The sequence below is a fragment of the Homo sapiens genome, chromosome 17 (genome assembly GCF_000001405.40).
Source record: "Homo sapiens chromosome 17, GRCh38.p14 Primary Assembly".
NCBI lineage: Eukaryota > Metazoa > Chordata > Mammalia > Primates > Hominidae > Homo > Homo sapiens.
Genome location: NC_000017.11, coordinates 35,850,894 through 35,868,904, shown reverse-complemented (window position 1 = coordinate 35,868,904; position 18,011 = coordinate 35,850,894). Strand labels below are relative to the sequence as shown.

At 46.7% G+C, this 18,011-nt stretch overlaps 1 protein-coding gene and 1 pseudogene across 7 annotated transcripts; both read left to right on the top strand.

The window, feature by feature from the left end:
* The first annotated feature begins 13 nt into the window (after nt 1-13).
* Nucleotides 14-13,950, top strand: HEATR9 (HEAT repeat containing 9). 7 transcript variants are annotated; one of them, XM_005278233.3, is made up of 16 exons: nt 14-79; nt 204-338; nt 2,132-2,181; nt 3,509-3,690; nt 4,015-4,147; nt 4,352-4,408; nt 4,603-4,659; nt 5,346-5,403; nt 5,780-5,910; nt 9,835-10,017; nt 10,380-10,472; nt 10,586-10,705; nt 12,100-12,173; nt 12,681-12,732; nt 13,155-13,241; nt 13,495-13,950. In XM_005278233.3, exons 3-16 carry the CDS (start codon nt 2,146-2,148, stop codon nt 13,840-13,842), a joined length of 1,611 nt encoding a protein of 536 aa, XP_005278290.1. In that variant the 5' UTR covers nt 14-79; nt 204-338; nt 2,132-2,145; the 3' UTR covers nt 13,843-13,950. The 7 variants fall into 7 exon arrangements, 4 of the variants coding, with proteins under 4 accessions (XP_005278290.1, NP_001308324.1, NP_689994.2 ...); NR_135630.2 differs by having other exon boundaries at nt 14-250; nt 5,780-5,954; NM_001321395.2 differs by having other exon boundaries at nt 14-250; nt 4,015-4,027.
* Nucleotides 7,271-9,792, top strand: LOC107985049 (probable ribosome biogenesis protein RLP24; annotated as a pseudogene).
* Nucleotides 13,951-18,011: the final 4,061 nt, after the last annotated feature.

Here is an 18,011-nt window from a genome sequence, read left to right as displayed (position 1 = left end):
CTGGTCGCTTAGCACTTGGAAGCTTCTACCTCCAGAAGTCCAGACACCTCCCCTGTACCTCTCGTACCACAGAGGACAGGTCTCCTCCAGCTGTGCCCCCACTCCCCTAAAAGCCTTGTATTCCCCCCTGCAGGTTCCCTCTGGCCCCACCAGGAGAAGAAGATGGCCTATGAAAAATCAACTGATATCTCTGATGTCTCCAGGTCAATGTTCCTGTACCCATGGCTGGAATATCCAGACAAGACCAAAGGTGAGGCTGGGATGGACAGAAATGGAGCCAAGAGCAGGGGACTGAAAAAGAAATGCTACCTGGCTCTCACTCCCAGGCAAGGGTCTAGGTGAGTTCAGCAAACCCTTGGGAAACATCAGGGCAGGCCCTTGGACACTTTGATGGCTCTGCACAGTCCTCAAGGTCTCAGGCTCCTCAGCAGGGCCTACAGGGATCTCTAAGATGGGACACCTGTGTGTCTCCCCAGCTTCTGCTCCCACACCTGTACCCTGCTCTTTACCCTCAATTCTTGCACCTCCAAATCTTTGCATAGGGTGTTCCCTGTGTCTAATGCTCTTCCCCCTTATCTACCTGGCTAGTTCCTGTTTGTATTGAAGACTCAGCTTGTGGAGTTTACTCTAGGAAACCTTCCCTTATCCTCCCAGCCAGGTTAGGTACCCCTCATGTTTACCACCTGTGTCTACATCTATCTTCACATTTGTTTCCCTCTGTTAATCACTAAGAAACACTTCTGTCTCTCCAGCTAGAACAGTGGTCCTCAAAGCGTGATCCCATGACCAGCAGCATCAGCATCTTGTTAGAAATGCAAATTCTCGACTGGGCACGGTGGTTCACGCCTCTAATCCCAGCACTTTGGGAGGCCAAAGCGGGCGGATCACTTGAGACCAGGAATTCCAGACCAGCCTGGCCAAGATGGTGAAACCCCATCTCTACTAAAAATACAAAAATTAGCTGGGTGTGGTGGCGGGCACCTATAATCCCAGCTACTTGGGAGGCTGAGGTACGAGAACCACTTGAACCTAGGAGGTAGAGGTTGACCTGAGCCAAGATTGTGACACTGCACTCCAGCAGCCCAGGCAAGAGAGCAAGACTCTGTCTCAATAAAAACAAAACAAAACAAAACAAAAAACAGGAAATGCAAATTCTCAGACCCCACCCTTAATCTAGTGAATCAGATACTGTGGGTATGAGTCCCAGAAATCTGTGTTTTAACAAACTCTCCAAGTGATTTTTTTTTTCCTAATTGAGGGTTAGGGGGCAGTCTCACTTTGTTGCCCAGATTGGTCTTGAACTCCTTGGCTCAAGCAATCTGCCCGCTTTGGCCTTACTTATCTCCCCAGTGCCTGGTGAAATATCTGGTACTAGTAGTCACTAAATGCTGAATAAATGAATGCCTGAATGTATTAATTCTTTAACCTACCTTTGCAACTGCTATCTCTTTTTTTTTTTTTTTTTTTTTTTTTTTTGAGTCTTGCTCTGTTACCCAGGCTGGAGTACAGTGGCATGATCTCGGCTCCCTGCAACCTTCACCTCCCAGGTTGAAGAGACTCTCCTGCCTCAGCCTCTCAAGTAGCTGGGACTATAGGCATGCACCACCACCCCTGGCAAATTTTTATTTTATTTATTTATTTTTTGAGACGGAGTCTCGCTCTGTCGCTCTGTCGCCCAAGCTGGAGTGCAGTGATGCGATCTCAGCAGGCTCCGCCTCCCGGGTTCACACCATTCTCCTGCCTCAGCCTCCTGAGTAGCTGGGACTACAGGCACCCACCACCACACATGGCTAATTTTTTTTTTTTTTTGTATTTTTAGTGGAGACGGGGTTTCACCATGTTAGCCAGTATGGTCCCAATCTCCTGACCTCGTGATCCGCCCGTCTCGGCCTCCCAAAGTGCTGGGATTACAGGCGTGAGCCACTGCGCCTGGCTGGCTAATGTTTTTTTTGTATTTTTAGTAGAGATGGGGTTTCACCATGTTGGCTAGGCTGGTCTCGAACTCCTGACCTCAGGTGATCTGCCTGCCTTGGCTTCCCAAAGTGCTGGGATTACAGGCAGAAGCCACCAAGCCTGGCCTGCAACTGCTATCTCATTTGAACCACACACATACTCTTATCCCTCTTGCCAGAACTCAGAAAAGCCATGGCTCCTGTTCATCTGCCCTTGTCCTGCTACCAGGTAAGACCCCTTACTTTTGCTACCCTGGGAGCTGTATCAAAGTTAGGAGGGGCAGCAAACTATCCCTTCCCATTAAAGCCAGCTCACAGAACCCTGACATTTACCCCTGGGGCTGCCATTAACTGTGATCTTGAACAGTCACTTTCCCCCTCAGAGCCTCAGGAGCTTCCTGTGTCCCAGGCTAACCCCTGTCCACCTCCCTTTGTAGAGTTGTTATGAAACAAAGTCTATGAGGCCTTGGCTATGCAGAAAGTGCTTACTAATGGAAGTCATTTTTATTAGTTAACACAGGGACAGTTAGCAACCCTCACAGTTTGGGTTGCCAGATGAAATACAGAATGCCCAATTAAATTTGAATTTTGGATAAACAACAAATGGTGTTTTAGTACAAATGTGTCTCAAATATTTCATTCATTACCTAAAATCCAAATTTAACTTGACATCCTTGTATTTTTTTGTTTGGGAGCGGGGAGCTTTTTTTTTTTTCTTCCTAAATCTGCAACCCTACTCACTGTGAGTCATGCTCCATTTTTTGAACTTATGCCAATCACTTGAGAACCCTTATTATGATCTCTTCAGTACAAAGTTGGGAACCACAGCTGAAGCCCCTCTTCCCTGTTGCCCAGATCTGTTGCAAAGAGTGAAAGAAAGGCTTAAGAAGAGACAGGGATGAATCCTAGCCAAATCTTCAGAGAAAGCCCCTGATCCACTCAAAATCCTCCATTACAGTGACAGCGGTAGTTTCACAATTGTTTAAGTGATAGATTATTTTAAGAAAGTCTGTTTCCCTGCTAAACTGTTAAGTTCCATGAGGGCAGGGATAACTGCAACCCTAGCACCCAGCACAGTATCTGGCACATAGTTGGTACTCAAATAAATATCTGAATGAGCAATAGTCTGTCTTTTCCCCACCTTTATCCCACATCCTCCCCACACCTTGCCTTTTCATTTCCCTACTCAAGTGTCATTTTCAAAGTGCTTTGAGATCCTCAACTAACCAAACTATGTATTCAAATCGATTTACAGATCACCAGTGGCTTCACAATCTGGATCTCTCTTTTGATCTTTACAACAACCTTGGTAGGGACACAGAACAAGGATTATTAGCTTTGTTTTACAGATAAGAAGACTGAGACTTTGATAGGATGAAGTAACTTGCCCAAGTTATGCAAGGGGTTAGGTGGTAGCTGTGACTCCAGCTCAGATGAGAGGCTAGAGGGCATCTGTTTCACCCTGCCCTTCCCTCCCTTTACCCCCTCCTCCCCATACCCTCACAAGTAAGGGCCTAGGGGACCCCTCTGACTGTTCTGCCACTTGCAACCCCCAGATGCCAAAGGAAGAGTTTCCCCCAAGTCCAGAGTGCTGGAGGCAGCATCCGAGCAAGCCAAACTCAGTCCCGTACTGCTACTTCAAGAAACCTGAGATCTACACGCACTGGCACGACCTGTATGATCAGCGAGAGGAAAGGGAGGCTGAGAAGATGTTGAGGAAAATGAGAGATGACTGTAGGTGTGTTTTGCTGGCCTCCATATTCTTCTCACCCTCCACATCTTCTAGGAAAGTGAGGAAGGGCAAGGAAGGGGTGGGCCAGGGAGTAAGGCAAGTCAGCCTACAGGTCCCAGAGAGGAGCTTAGGGCGGCTCGGCTTGGCTCAGCTCCATCTGGCTCGGCCGGCTCGGCTCGGCTCGGCTCTGGTGGATATCACTGAGTCCTCATCTGTCTTCCTCTGGTCCCATATCTGAGCTGGGCTGTAGCCCTGTGGCAGAAGTGAGGTTGCAACCTGAGGAGGGAAGGTACAAAGGGACCAAAGCTGCCTATGCAATTTCTCACACAGGTACATCAAAGAGGTACATCAAACCCACATCAAAATGTTCCATCTCCCAATGAGCAAGCTGACTATAAAATCTGAGATGCGATCCAGGCCCTTAGAGCCTACCCAGGACCCCCTGAAGTGGCAAAGATTAAGGGTCAGGACCATGTGGGAGAGGACGTGGGGGACTCCCTCCCTGTGGGTGCCCTTCCCTTGGGCTCACACCATCCTTCAGCCCTCAGTCCTTGCCTGAAAAACAGAGGTAGGGTAGGAAAAGGGATTGGATTGGATGAGCTCCCTTTAGTTTGAAATTCTTTATTTTTCTCTGTCTTCCTTTCCACTGGCTGCCTTGGATGGGCAGGAACTCACAAAAAGCCTGGAATCTCCCAGAGAGGATGAGCAGTTCTATGCAGCACAGGTGAGAAGAGGCAAGGATAGAGGAGGGTGGTTACAGCCAGGAGTTGGCCAAGCTGGAAAGTAAAAAGCTGCTTGACGTGATGGTGGTTGTGGGGATGGTATTCCAAGCACAAACTCCAGCTGTATCCAGAGAATGGTAACTCCTGGGGATGATGTCCAAGTTTCCTTCTCTTTCCTCCATCCCTCTTCCTGCAGGCTCTGGGATGCTTACGCATCAGTGACAAGTTTGTCATGGAGGCACTACAGCAGGTGGTGAGTCTGAGAACTGCTGGAGTTCAGGAAAGAAGGAAACAGGGTCTGAGATGTGTGGCATGTGGGCACAGACGAGGCTCCCCGGGGTGCTAGGATGGCGGGTCAGATCCAGTAAGGACACAGCCACCACTGTGCAGCATGACCCATCCCATGTCCTTGGCCTCTTCGAAGAGCAGCTGGATCTAAAAGATAGGGAAGGAAGAATCTGAAGATCTCCCTGGTCTAACCGAAAAGACATTGGACTGAAAAGCCAGGAAAGTCTGAAAGCCAGAACAGAGTACATTCTCTGCCTTTACTGGAAACACCGCATATGTATACATCAGCTTACCACTGGGAACATGCATTCTTTATATCCATAATCTCATTTAACTCTTACAACAACACCAGGAATTAGTATCTGTATTTCTCTAAATGAGAAAATGAAAGCTCTGAGAGACCAAGGGACTTGCCCAGGGCCAAGTGGCTACAAGATACCAGATAGAGATTTGAACAAACATCTAACTCCCAACTGTATTGTTCCTTCCATTGAACCATTTTGGCTGTATTCTGTATTTGAGAATAGATAGGTCACTTTCTAGGCTTCAGTTTCCTCTTTTGTAAAATGAGAAGTTAAGCTGAGACAATCCCTAAAGCTCTGACATTCCATCACCTTATTATATGTTCCTACCACCCGCCTCTTAAATTAGGCCCAAACTGGTCCAGAGAAAGTGAAGTACGAGGCCTACCGAACCCTGGCCATCCTGGGTGAGTATGTCTTCTCCCTTGGTGGGGAGTTGAGAAAGTGCAACCACTTTCTCCTTTGGGTAAGGACAAATGGGTGAGGAGCATACACTTGCTCCAACCTACCATTTGGCAAGGCCTGAGAACTATCCCAGTTATGTTGAACCAAGAGAGGAAGGTGGGGTGAAAAGGGAAAAGAGATTAGAAAGAGGGAGAGGGAGGGCTCTTGGAATAGTGTTCACATTCAGCCAGCTGCCCTGGTATCCTGGGAAGATGAGCAACACTGTGGTACCTAGGACTTGGAACTTAGGTCTCGATGGCACAGTGGAGTTCAATGGGTCCTTGCAGAGAGGGGCAGTACCAGAGGCTCTGCCCTGACTTGAGGCCCCTCCCTGTCCAGGTTGCCTGAATAAGCATGTGATCCGGGCTCTCATCAAACAGCTGAAGGAGAAAAATGAGGGTCAAAGGATGGAGACTTTGACGGGGCTACGAATGGCTCTTAACTCCTGGGCTGCTGTCTCTAAAGACAAGGTGATTGGGAGGACAGTCTTTAATTGGGGGCAAAGCTGGACAAGGTAATTGATAGGTTTAGCTTGGGGTTGGGTGAGGAAGAAGGTAACCTAGCACAGCTTTGATAGAGGAAGACACTGTCCTTGAGGAGTTCCCTCGGGAGTTGAATAGAAGCATATGGCTTGGCCACTTACTAGTCCATTTCTGAAAAGCCAAATTTCAGAGCTGCAGTTTGTATTTAAAATGGAGAATGGAGACAGTACAGATGGTTCCTGATTTAGATGGTTTGACTTACGATTTTTCGACTTTACAATGGTGCAAAAACAACACACAGTCAGTACACTCCTTAACTTACTATGGGCATGGCATTACAACCTCATAAACCCATCCATGGGACGTCATTGTAAATAGAGGAGCATCTGTAATTGTCTGATAGTACTGTTGAGAGGACTAAATGAGATAATGTATGTAAAACACCTAGTACAATGCCTATGCTCTTTAAATGGTAACCATCATTATTATCATCATCTCTAAAATAACTTATTATGGTAAAACCTGTCAAGAAGGGACGGGGCCCAAGAGAGTCCTCAGACCCTACTGTTTTTTTCTCCTTTAGTGTTCTCTTACTTTGACCCCATCATTGCTCTATGTAAAAGAAAATCCATCATTCATCCATTTATTCAGCAAATAGATAATAAACAGCTATCATGTGCCAGGCACTGTCCTAGGCCCTTGGGATATAGCAGTGAACCAGACAGGCAAAGATCTCTGCGCTTATGGAGGAGGTTACATTCTAGTGGGGGAGACACATAATAACCAATAAATTTATTTTTAGAAAATTAGGCCAGGCGTGGTGGCTCACAAATCCCAGCACGTTGAGAGGCTGAGGCAGATGTTCACTTGAGGTCAGGAGTTCAAGACCAGCCTGACCAACATGGTGAAACTCTGTCTCTACTAAAAATAAAAAATAAAAATAAATAAATAAATAAAAACTTAGCCAGGTGTGGTGACCCACACCTGTAATCCCAGCTACTTGGGAGGCTGAGGCAGAAATGCTTGAACCCAGGAGGCAGAGGTTGCAGTGAGCCAAGATCGCGCCATTGCACTCCAGCCTGGGCAACGAGAGCAAAACTCCATTTCAAAAAAAAAAAACCAAGAAAAAGAAAATTATGTAGTATGTTAGAGGTGACAGGTACAATGGAAACAATTACATAGCAGGGTAAGAGTGATCAGGTGTGACAAGTAGGAGTAGGGATGGGTTGCAATGTTAAATACAGTAGACAGGGAAGGCCTCATTTAGAAGGTACATTTGAGCAAAGACATAAAGAAAGTGAGTGGGTTAGCCTTACAGATATCTGAGAGAAGACATTCCAGGCAGAAGGACCAATGCAAAGGGAGGAGTATGTTTGGCATGGTTAAGAAAGCAAAGGGGACCAACACAGGTTCAACATGCGTATCAAGAAGTGTTATTTCTCTTCGAGGCCCATCTACCCCAGCCATGACATGATGTTTGTCCGCAACGACTGCAAGGTGTTCAGATTTTGTAAATCTAAGTGTCATAGAAACTTTAAAAAGAAGCGCAATCCTCGCAAAGTTAGGTGGACCAAAGCATTCCGGAAAGCAGCTGGTAAAGAGCTTACAGTGGATAATTCATTTGAATTTTAAAAACATAGAAATGAACCTATCAAATACTAGCAAGAGCTATGGAATAAAACTATTGACGCAATGAAGAGAGTTGAAGAGATCAAACAGAAACGTCAAGCTAAATTTATAACGAACAGATTGTAGAAAAATAAAGAGCTACAGAAAGTTCAGGATATCAAAGAAGTCAAGCAAAACATCCATCTTATCCGAGCCCCTCTTGCAGGCAAAGGGAAGCAGTTGGAAGAGAAAATGGTACAACAGTTACAAGAGGATGTGGACAAGAGGATGCTTCTTTAAAATCTCTGTAACCATTTCTTTTTTTTTTTGAGACCGAATCTCGCTCTGTCACCCAAGCTGGAGTGCAGTGGCATGATCTCGGCTCACTGCAACCTCGGCCTCCCGGATTCAAGCAATTCTCCTGCCTCAGCCTCCCAGGTAGCTGGGATTACAGGCATGTGCCACCACGCCCGGCTAATTTTTTTGTATTTTTAATAGAGACGAGGTTTCACCATATTGGCCAGGCTGGTCTCGAACTCCTGATCTTGTGATTCACCCACCTCGACCTCCCAAAAATAAATAAATAGGCCGGGCATGGTGGTTCACACCTGTAATCCCAGCACTTTGGGAGGCTGAGGCGAGTGGATCACGAGGTCAGGAGATTGAGACCATCCTGGCTAACATGGTGAAACCCGGTCTCTACTAAAAATACAAAAAATTAGCTGGGTGTGCTGGCGGGCGCCTGTAGTCCCAGCTACTTGGCAGGCTGAGGCAGGAGAATGGCGTGAAACCGGGAGACGGAGCTTGCAGTGAGCCGAGATCGTGCCACTGCACTCCAGCCTGGGCAACAGAGCGAGACTCCATCTCAAAATAAATAAATAAATAAATAAATAAAATAAATAAATAAATAAATAAATAAATAAAAATAAGGACTTTGAAGAGAGTGTGAAAAATAGCAAAGTTCTTGTTTTTTTTTTTTTTTTGAGACGGAGTCTTGCTGTGTCACCCAGGCTGGAGTGCAGTGGTGCAGTCTCGGCTCACTGCAAGCTCCACCTCCCAGGTTCATGCCATTCTCCTGCTTCAGCCTCCCGAGTAGCTGGGACTACAGGCGGCTGCCACTGCGCCCAGCTAATTTTTTTTTTTTTTGTATTTTTAGTAGAGATGGGGTTTCACTGTGGTCTCGATCTCCTGACCTCATGATCCGCCCGCCTTGGCCTCCCAAAGTGCTGGGATTACAGGCGTAAGCCACCGTGCCCGGCCGAAAAATAGCAATGTTCTTAAATGATGTCCTTAAATAGGCGAGAAGAGATAAGGTCTAAGACACAAGTGGAGACTGGCCTTAGATAGATGGTTATAGTCTATAGTTAACAAGTAGAAAGGAAGGGTGTATGGGTGCAAGTGTTGGAAGCTGGACAAAAGTAGTCATAGGAGTCTATGGAACTTCCTTTCTAGTTGCTTTGATTTTCTCACTGAAGTAGAAAGCAAGGTCACTAGCCAAGAGTAAGAATAGAGGAAGAAGTGTTCCAGAAAGGGTGTGAATTGGAAGAGTGAGAAAGAGAACTGCCCAGGGAAAAACAGTATGATTACCAGACAGCATTAAGGGTCTATATGAGGTCTGTGCTCACACATTTTAACAAGATCATTCGCTGCAATAGTGTTTTTCTCCAGGAAGTGCTGGCACAAAGTAGAGAGTTGGACTGTAGTTCTGTCCAGGGAGTAGAATGAAGCAAGAGTGGGTAAGGGAGCTGAGGGTGAGGAAGGGGAGTGATTACAGCAGGATCATGGAATTTAAGCTGGGTCAAGAGGGACAGAGGTGTGGAGGAGTGCAAAGGTGGCAGGCTCAATGGATTATTTAGTCCCTTGTGGAGTCAAACAATTCTTGGACTCGGGAGCTGGAAAAAGAGGTGATGGTCAGAGAGTGGGATCCATGAAATGGAGATTATGGAGAAGCTGCATTTGTGGGTAATGATCAGGTCTCTCAGTGGGATTAGTGGCTGAGGCAGAGAAGAGGACAAGGATATTGGAGGAGAGGTATGGGATCACTCACATGTATATTCTTTTAAATGACAGGAATTAACACAGCAGAAGTGTTGAAGAGAGTAACAGTGATCCATCCATGAGATAGTTATAGAGAAATGAGATCTGACCTAGAAGCAAGTAGGTGACAGCAAGAATAAGTTAATTGGTTGAAATAATCTGATGCACAAGATTCATTTTAGGGAGGAAGGTGAATATAGTCTGGAAGCACAAAGCCTGGCATAAAGTACATAGCCCCTCCCCTTAGCCATTTTGTCTCCCTCACAGAGGACTCAAGTCGGGGATGAGGGCAAGCTGGTGCCTGTACTACAGACACTGATCAAGAAGTCGTCCAGTGAAGCATCTCTGGAGGCAGCCCTGTGCCTGGGTTTCCTGAGGCCTTGCAGCAACATGGTCCAAGAGTTCTTGTTGCAGTGCCTGTGCCAAGGACTCAAGACCCAGCGGATGAAGGTGTGAGGGGCAGGAGGCTGGGATCCCTGGGGAAACAGAAGCCACTGCTGAATTGTGTGTGGTCTGGATCCTGCCATCCTGGTGGTGGAGCACTGCAGGATCCTCTGTGTGCTTATGACTATGTCCATGTATGAGTATGGGGTCATATGGACATATAAGCGTCCATGTGTCTGTGTATATTTGATAGGTGTGGGTGTTCATTTATGTATATGCACACATGAACTTCTGTGGTCAAGAGGCGAAGAGGCAGAAAAAAGGACCTTAGCTGTTCCTCACCAGTTCTAGGCTCAGACCTCAAGTCCACCTGGCCACACAGATGCCTCTAGGCCCTGTACACCCTGCCCTACCCTGCCCCCTCATAGGCACTTAGGATGCTGGTCAAGGTGATGCACGTGCACTCAGCCCCAGTCATCAAGGCCATCCTAGACCAGCTGTGTTCTTCCAGTGTCCTTGAGGTAAGCTCTGGACTGCCTGAACCCTTCCTTTCCCGGCACTAGGATAGGGTTAGGGGATGAAGAAGGGAATCCATCTTTCACACCTCCCCACTAACCCTCACCCCCGACCTCAGGACCGCTTTGAAGCCACCCAAATGCTCAAGACCATTGGGCTGGAACAGATCCAGGCACAGGGGCTAGAGGAACTCACATTTAACCTGCTCAGGAGGAAGACGCATAATGAACCCTTCCTTGTAAGTGAGACCAAAGCTCCCAAGCCCAGAGACACCCAAACCTTTCTCTTTTCCGTGTTCTGGAGACCTCCCCTGGCCTCCACCGAAGTATCACATTCATCCTGACCTACTCCTGTTCAACTAATGCAGCCCAGGTTTTTATATCACCTTGCCTTTGCTCAGGCAGTTCACTCAGGTTAAAATGATCTGAGTCATCCTTCCTTCTATAAGGTAAAAAACTGTCTCATACTATTCACTCGCACCAGTAAGTAATCCGTCTCCCCTTCTGCCTACTAAAAATACTGTATTGCTCCTTCAAGACCGATCCCAACGATACCTCCTATGGGAAGCTTTCCCAAATCACCAATCAGCATTAACCCTACCTTCCTCTATGTTCCCTTGCTTTTATATTTACTATAGCTTGTTATAAAACTAGGTGTTATATTTTTTTTCTTTTTTTTTGAGACGGAGTCTTGCTCTGTTGCCCAGGCTGGAGTGCAGTGGCGCGATCTTGGCTCACTGCAAGCTCTGCCTCCTGGGTTCACGCCATTCTCCTGCCTCAGCCTCCCGAGTAGCTGGGACTACAGGCGCCCGCAACCACGCCTAGCTAATTTTTTGCATTTTTAGTAGAGACGGGGTTTCATCGTGTTAGCCAGGATGGGCTCGATCTCCTGACCTCGTGATCTGCCCACCTCGGCCTCCCAAAGTGCTGGGATTACAGGCGTGAGCCACTGCGCCCGGCCCTAGGTGTTATATTTCTAAAGACATTTTTAAAAAATATAAATCAGATTGTGCCTTCTCTGCATAAAACTTTCTATTGGCTCCCAATGCCCTGTGGATGGCTTATGCTGCTTCCACAGCTCAAGCCTGCTTGCCTCTCTAGCTTCATCTCTCACCATTCTCCCCACCAGAACCATGTACCAACTATGCTTACGACAACCATGTCCTGATTTATACCTGTTGTCCCAGGGTAATTAGAGCACTCAGAGTGCTTGGAAGAGTCCATTTGGTCACCTCTCTGAGTTGAACTATTTTCAGCTCCCCATCCTCTCTGCACCTTCTCCTGCCTCCAGATTTTTTAATATGCTCTCCCCTCTGCTCTTAAAATCTGACCAACCCCAACCCTCTGCCTGGTTAACTCCCACTCACCTTCCAAGTTTCATTCAGCTCGGGCATCACCTCTTCCAGGAAGTCTTCCTGGCACCCAAGACTGAGTTAGGAGACCCTCCTATGTGTACCCCTACACAGTATTATAATTGCCTATTTACCTGTCTGCTTCCTCCACCAGACTATGAGCTCCTTAAGGCAGGGACTCTACATAGCACAAAGGAAATGTTCAGTAAAGATTTGAGAGGCTCTTAAGTGTACACCCTTGCATTCCCTCTCTCTGTTGACTCATTTTGATCCCTCTGCAGGCTGTGAGGCAGGCTGTGGCTCAAACTGTGGAAGAGCTCAAGTTGAAGCCTACGATGATGAACTTGGTGGAGGCGTGAGTGGCCTGGGAGCTGCCAGGGCCAAATCCTAGGCTGTGGGAAGGGGGCAGAGGGTCAGTGAGAGGGTCAGTGGGAAGGGGTCAGAGGGTCAGTGAGAGCTGAGAACCTACAGTGCAGCAGGTCCTCAGTTCTCCCTTGCCCATGCCCCTAACCAAGTAACTCTTTGACCCCTGAGCTTTTGTTCATCTGTAAAGAAAGAGTAATAATACCTACCAAGGTTAGGTATAGGTTGCTATAAAGCTCAAATTATGACATGAAAAGAACTTTTTTTAAAAAGATAAAATTTCTGGACAGTCCTGATCATCATTCAGTGCCTCCTGGCAAACTGTGGTGCCTCTTTTTCCTCTCCCTGCCCCTTTTCTGATCCAAGAAACAAGAGAAGGAAATGAATGAAATTAGCATCACTTTGCCTAATTCGCTCTGGACCTGAAAAGCAACCAGCCTCCCTTCCACTTCCCCTACTCCTTAATTCAACTATAACATACTCACTCCCTTCTACACAGACAACTGATGAACCCAGATGCCACTGCACGCCAGGAAGCAGTCATCTCTTTGGTAAGGCAGGCTCTGCTTCTCTGACCCAATTCCTGTGTTGATGGCAGGGGGAGTAGGCGATTGAGCAGAGTCACTGAGGGGAATAAAGGCCTGTAAACTTCGGGGAAGTTGTTTATTTTAGAATTCCAGCCCTACCGAACCTTTTCTTCAGGGTTGGGGGTAGGTGGGCTAAGGGACAGAAGATTGATGTGAGGGGTGTTGCTTAGATGCTGCAGAAATTGTCTTCAGTCTTCCTAGCAAATAATGGGCATTAAAGTCCCATGCAGTGGTTCCAAATGGCAAGGAAAGGAGTATCTCAGCTGGGAAACCCTATCTCCCCCCTCTCTATGCTGCAGAGTCTCACAAAGGGGCTAGAATGGGAAAGAGTATAAGGTGTCTTCCTGGGGCTGGCTACATAGGCACTCTCACTCTGCCTCTGCCAGGGTGTCCTGGGGATCCGCAGTCCACAAGTGTTCCACTTGCTCCTGGACTTACTAGATGCAGAAAACCACCAGGCTGTGAAGAAGAGTGTAAGTAAGGCGTTCCTGCCCACTTCTTCCTCTTCTCTAGCCCTCCTTCAAGCTTCTCCCACCTATCTCACCACCATTTGCTCCTTGTCAGGAGGAGAGGGTCATGAGCCCTTAGACACTGTCCCTTGACCTTGTTCCTTGGGGCCACAGTGCCCTGTGGCTAGAATTCCCCCCTACTTTGGGTGCCCCCTCTCTGGAGCCTCCCAGCCTGAACCCAAAGTGAGCCAGCACTAGGACCTTTGTTTCAATGCAGCTACAAGAAACATTAATCCTTTGTGCCTCAATTGATCCCTGGATCCAAAACAAGCTGAAAAACAAGGTTCTCTCTGTATATGAGGCACCTAAGACCAATGTGAAGGCAGAGCCCACAAGGTTCCAGAAAGAGCCTGAGAACCCAGAAGAGTTAACTATTCAAGACTTTCGACTTGCAAAGCTGAACCCCTTGTTTATTGCAAAGTCCATCACCAAAGTAGGCCAAAAGAAAACGCCTGCTTTCCCACCGTGCTGCTCGAAACCACGAAAACATAGGCCACAGGTCATAGGGCCCTGGCAGCCAAGGATCAAGAAACAGCTCCGGGTCCTTGCTGAAATTGCCAAATAAGTCAATTCTTTGGGCCTACTCCCCGACTCCCTCCCTGAAGATGCTTCTCAGGCTCCCATGAGAAAACAATCTATACTTATCTTCCGTGAATAAACAAGTGTCACTCTACCTACCACATTTCTCTGAATCACTACTGCCACTTCTGTTCATCAGAAGCTCCACTGGAACACAGGTCTCCTCATTCCTACCTGGGTATACTTTCCACTCAGCCACATGCCCTTCTACCAGAGGAAGGAGGGAAGGACAGAGCCAAAGCTTCTCTGGACGGCCAGCCTGCCTCCCTAAATCAAGTGCTTATCTGTGTCCAGAATTTGATGGCAAAGCTAGAGAAGAGTCTGCCTAGAGACAGAAAACTAGGAGAAAATGCTGGAAAGCTTGGATCATGTCCTCTTACTAACTTGCCCTCACCCCCCACCTTCCTACCAGTGGTCAGGAGATAATTAAGCTTTAATCAGAACCAACCATCCTCTCTGCTGCCTCTTCAATCTAGGTACCTGCTTTCTATCCTTTCCTTTGAAAGACCCTATTTACTCTCTAGGTCATTCCCTTTGAAAGACCCTTCTTATTCTCTAAAACTGCCTTAATTTCTCCCCTATTTCTACTGAAGCTTTAGTTTCCCTTTGCCAACAGGACCTACCACACCAATTCCAAAAAGCTACAACCCCTATCAGGAAGGAAAGGCCCAGACTTTGGAGTCAGACAAATCTGATATCTAATCCTAAGGTTCATCACTTTTTTTTTTTTTGAGACGGAGTCTCGCTCTGTTGCCCAGGCTGGAGTGCAGTGGCGCGATCTTGGCTCACTGCAAGCTCCGCCTCCCGGGTTCACACCATTCTCCTGCTTCAGCCTCCAGAATAGCTGGGACTACAGGCGCCCACCACCACGCCCGGCTAATTTTTTGTATTTTTAGTAGAGACGGGGTTTCACTGTGTTAGCCAGGATGGTCTCGATCTCCTGACCTCGTGATCAGCCTGCCTTGGCCTCCCAAAGTGCTGGGATTACAGGCATGAGCCACTGCGCCTGGCCAGTTAATCACTTTTAACTTTGAACAAGTTATTATTATTAAAAGTTAATACTTAACCTTTGTGATTTTGTTTCCTCACCTATAAAATGAAAATAATAATACCTGTTACCTCAGAAAGCTCCTATGAGGATTACCATAAAGGTTAACAGTGCCTGTCATTACATAGTAAACAATCAAATATGAACTTTTCTCTCCTTTCCTCTTTAATGTTGTCATGTGAGCCTCTGACCATCAGAGGTTAAAAACGACTGTCTCCTTTCACCTCCTCTTCTTCCCCCAATCCTACTGATTTACTGGGAGGTCAAGTTCTTCCCCTCAAGCATAGAAAAGTCAAAATAAAACAGACGCTCCTTTCTACTTCCCCGCACCCCAGGTTCTACAGTAATCCCAACAGTTATTCTGAATTCAGTGCAGGCTGAGCGTTCCTAATCCCAAAATCCAAAATGCTCCAACTAGAAACTTTTTCAATACCAACATGACACTCAAAGAAAATGCTCATTGCAGCATTTTGGATTTGGGGATTAGAGATATTCAACCTGTAAGTATAATGTAAATACTCCAAACTCTGAAAAAAAAATCTGAAATCCAAAACATTTTTGGTTCCAAGCATTTTGGATAAGGGATACTAAACCTGTATAGTGTGTCACTCAGAATTATCTCCCAACCTACCCCATCACTTCTAGATTCATGTTTTGCCTGTGAGCGAGCTGTAAGTAAAAACCAAGGGTGGTTTCACTATTTTGAGTGTATGCAGCACTGCCTGGGGACCCCTCTAATATTGTGATGCCAAAGTCCAATGATAGGAAAGATGTTCCTCTTTTGCCCACTCCACTGCTTTGGGTCCATGAGCAACATAACCCAAATTTCCCTGTGCCTCAAAAGCCTGTGAGTACAAAACATGACCTTACTAACTACATAATTCAAACTCAACTTCTGCAAAATCCTGCCCACAGATCCCCAACCACTCCACCTCCATATTTTTAGGTATTTCCAGAGGACGTCTTATTATTCAACCAGATACAAATATCTGCCTAGTAGCACCTCAATCCTAATTTCACCAGTCCCCACCAGAAGACAAGATGGCAGTGAGGGGCATAAAGGTTTTCACAGAGCAGTCACCATCTGGTACACCACCAATGTACGAGAGCCCTCCCAGTACCAAAGCTACCTAGATCAAACACTCTTAGAAGTCTACTTTATCCAAGCAGTCGCTGGCTTCTCTCATAGTCCAAAGACACCCACTGGTCTCAGTTACTGGGACTGATCCTTAGACACTATTCAAAATGTAAGTCCCTCTCTTTTCTCTCCTCTAACCCAAACCTTTCTAATGGGATCTCTGGATGCTTCTTCTGATGGCAAACAAAAAGCATTCACACCCTCCACTCTCTCCCTCAAACCTTCTCATCTATCTTTCAGGCTGTAACTGAAAACTGGCTATTGACTGGGCCCCTTTCTGAAATCGCTCAGGTGTTGCTGATTCTCCTAAATCCCTCCCAATATCACCACTGTTTTGCACATTTATATAAAAATCAGTGTTTCAGCCAGGCGTGGTGGCTCACCACTGTTTTGCACATTTATATAAAAATCAGTGTTTCAGCCAGGCGTGGTGGCTCACGCCTGTAATCCCAGCACTTTAAGAGGTCGAGGCAGAAGGATCACTTGAGGTGAGGAGTTCAAAACCAGCCTGGCCAACATGGTGAAACCCCGTCTCTACTAAAAATACAAAAATTAGCTGGATGTGGTGGAACACATTTGTAATCCCAGCTACTTGGGAGGCTGAGGCAGGAGGATCATTTGAACCCGGGAGGGGGAGGTTGCAGTGAGGCAAGATCATGCCATTGCACTTCAGCCTGGACGAGAGTGAAACTCTGTCTCAAAAATAAAAAATGAAGAAAATAAAAAGAAAAATCTGCTGGGCATGGTGGCGCACACCTGTAATCCCAGCACTTTGGAAGGCCGAGGTGGGTGGATCACCTGAGGTCAGGAATTTGAGACCAGCCAACATAACAAAATCCCATCTCTAATAAAAATACAAAAATTAGCTGGGTGCAGTGGGAGGCACTTGTAATCCCAGCTACTTGGGAGGCTGAAGCAGGAGAATCGCTTGAACCCAGGAGGTAGAAGTTGCAGTGAACCCAGAAGGTGCCACTGCACTCCAGCCTGGACAATAGAGACTCCATCTTAAAAAAAAAAAAAGAAAAGAAAAGAAAAAGAAAATCAGTGTTTCTCTGAGGATCCTGCTCACCAACCAGCAATTACCCACTGGTCCATTTCTCCATTTCCTCTCATTCATTGCCTGACTCTTTGTCACCTCTCTGATGGCATCCCTTTGGACAAACATTCAATACTCCAGCCCCTCAGTCCTTCATCTCAATTACAAAGACATTTCCCTTCCATTCACTTCAGCTACCCACTTCCAACGTTACACCTAACCTTTGTCATCCCTAGGAATTGCTCTATCTCCAAAATGTTCACTTCTCACTTTCTGACCCAACCTTCAATCTGTGCAGCTCTTATTATCCACACAAGTTCTTTGAATCTCATCACCAACACTAAGCTCCTGACTTCCTTCCATCCTCCCTCTTTTTTTCTTACTCAACCTGGATCCCATCCATTAATCACTACCCTCACTTTTGTCATCTCTGATCATCTCTGATCAGTAAAACCCCTACTCTAAATCAAACTGCCTCTGCCCCTATAACCACGTTGCTATCAAAGCTGTTGAAAAATCACATATCCATACAGACTGGAACCCCCAAATACTTGCCTTTTTTTTTTTTTTTTTTTTGAGGAGTCTGACTCTGTCGCCCAGGCTAGAGTACAGTGGCGCGATCTTGGCTCACTGCAAGCTCTACCTCCTGGGTTCGCGCCATTCTCTTGCCTCAGCCTCACGAGTAGCTGGGACCACAGGCGCCCGCCACCATGCCTGGCTAATTTTTTGTATTTTTAGTAGAGACGGGGTTTCACCGTATTAGCCAGGATGGTCTCAATCTCCTGACCTCGTGATCAGCCCACCTCAGCCTCCCAAAGTGCTGGGATTACAGGCGTGAGCCACCGCGCCTGGCCTGCTTACCTCCTACTTTAACTGAGCCCTTATTGTCACCTGGCAGATTTATGGGTTCCTAGGCACACACTTCCCTGATCC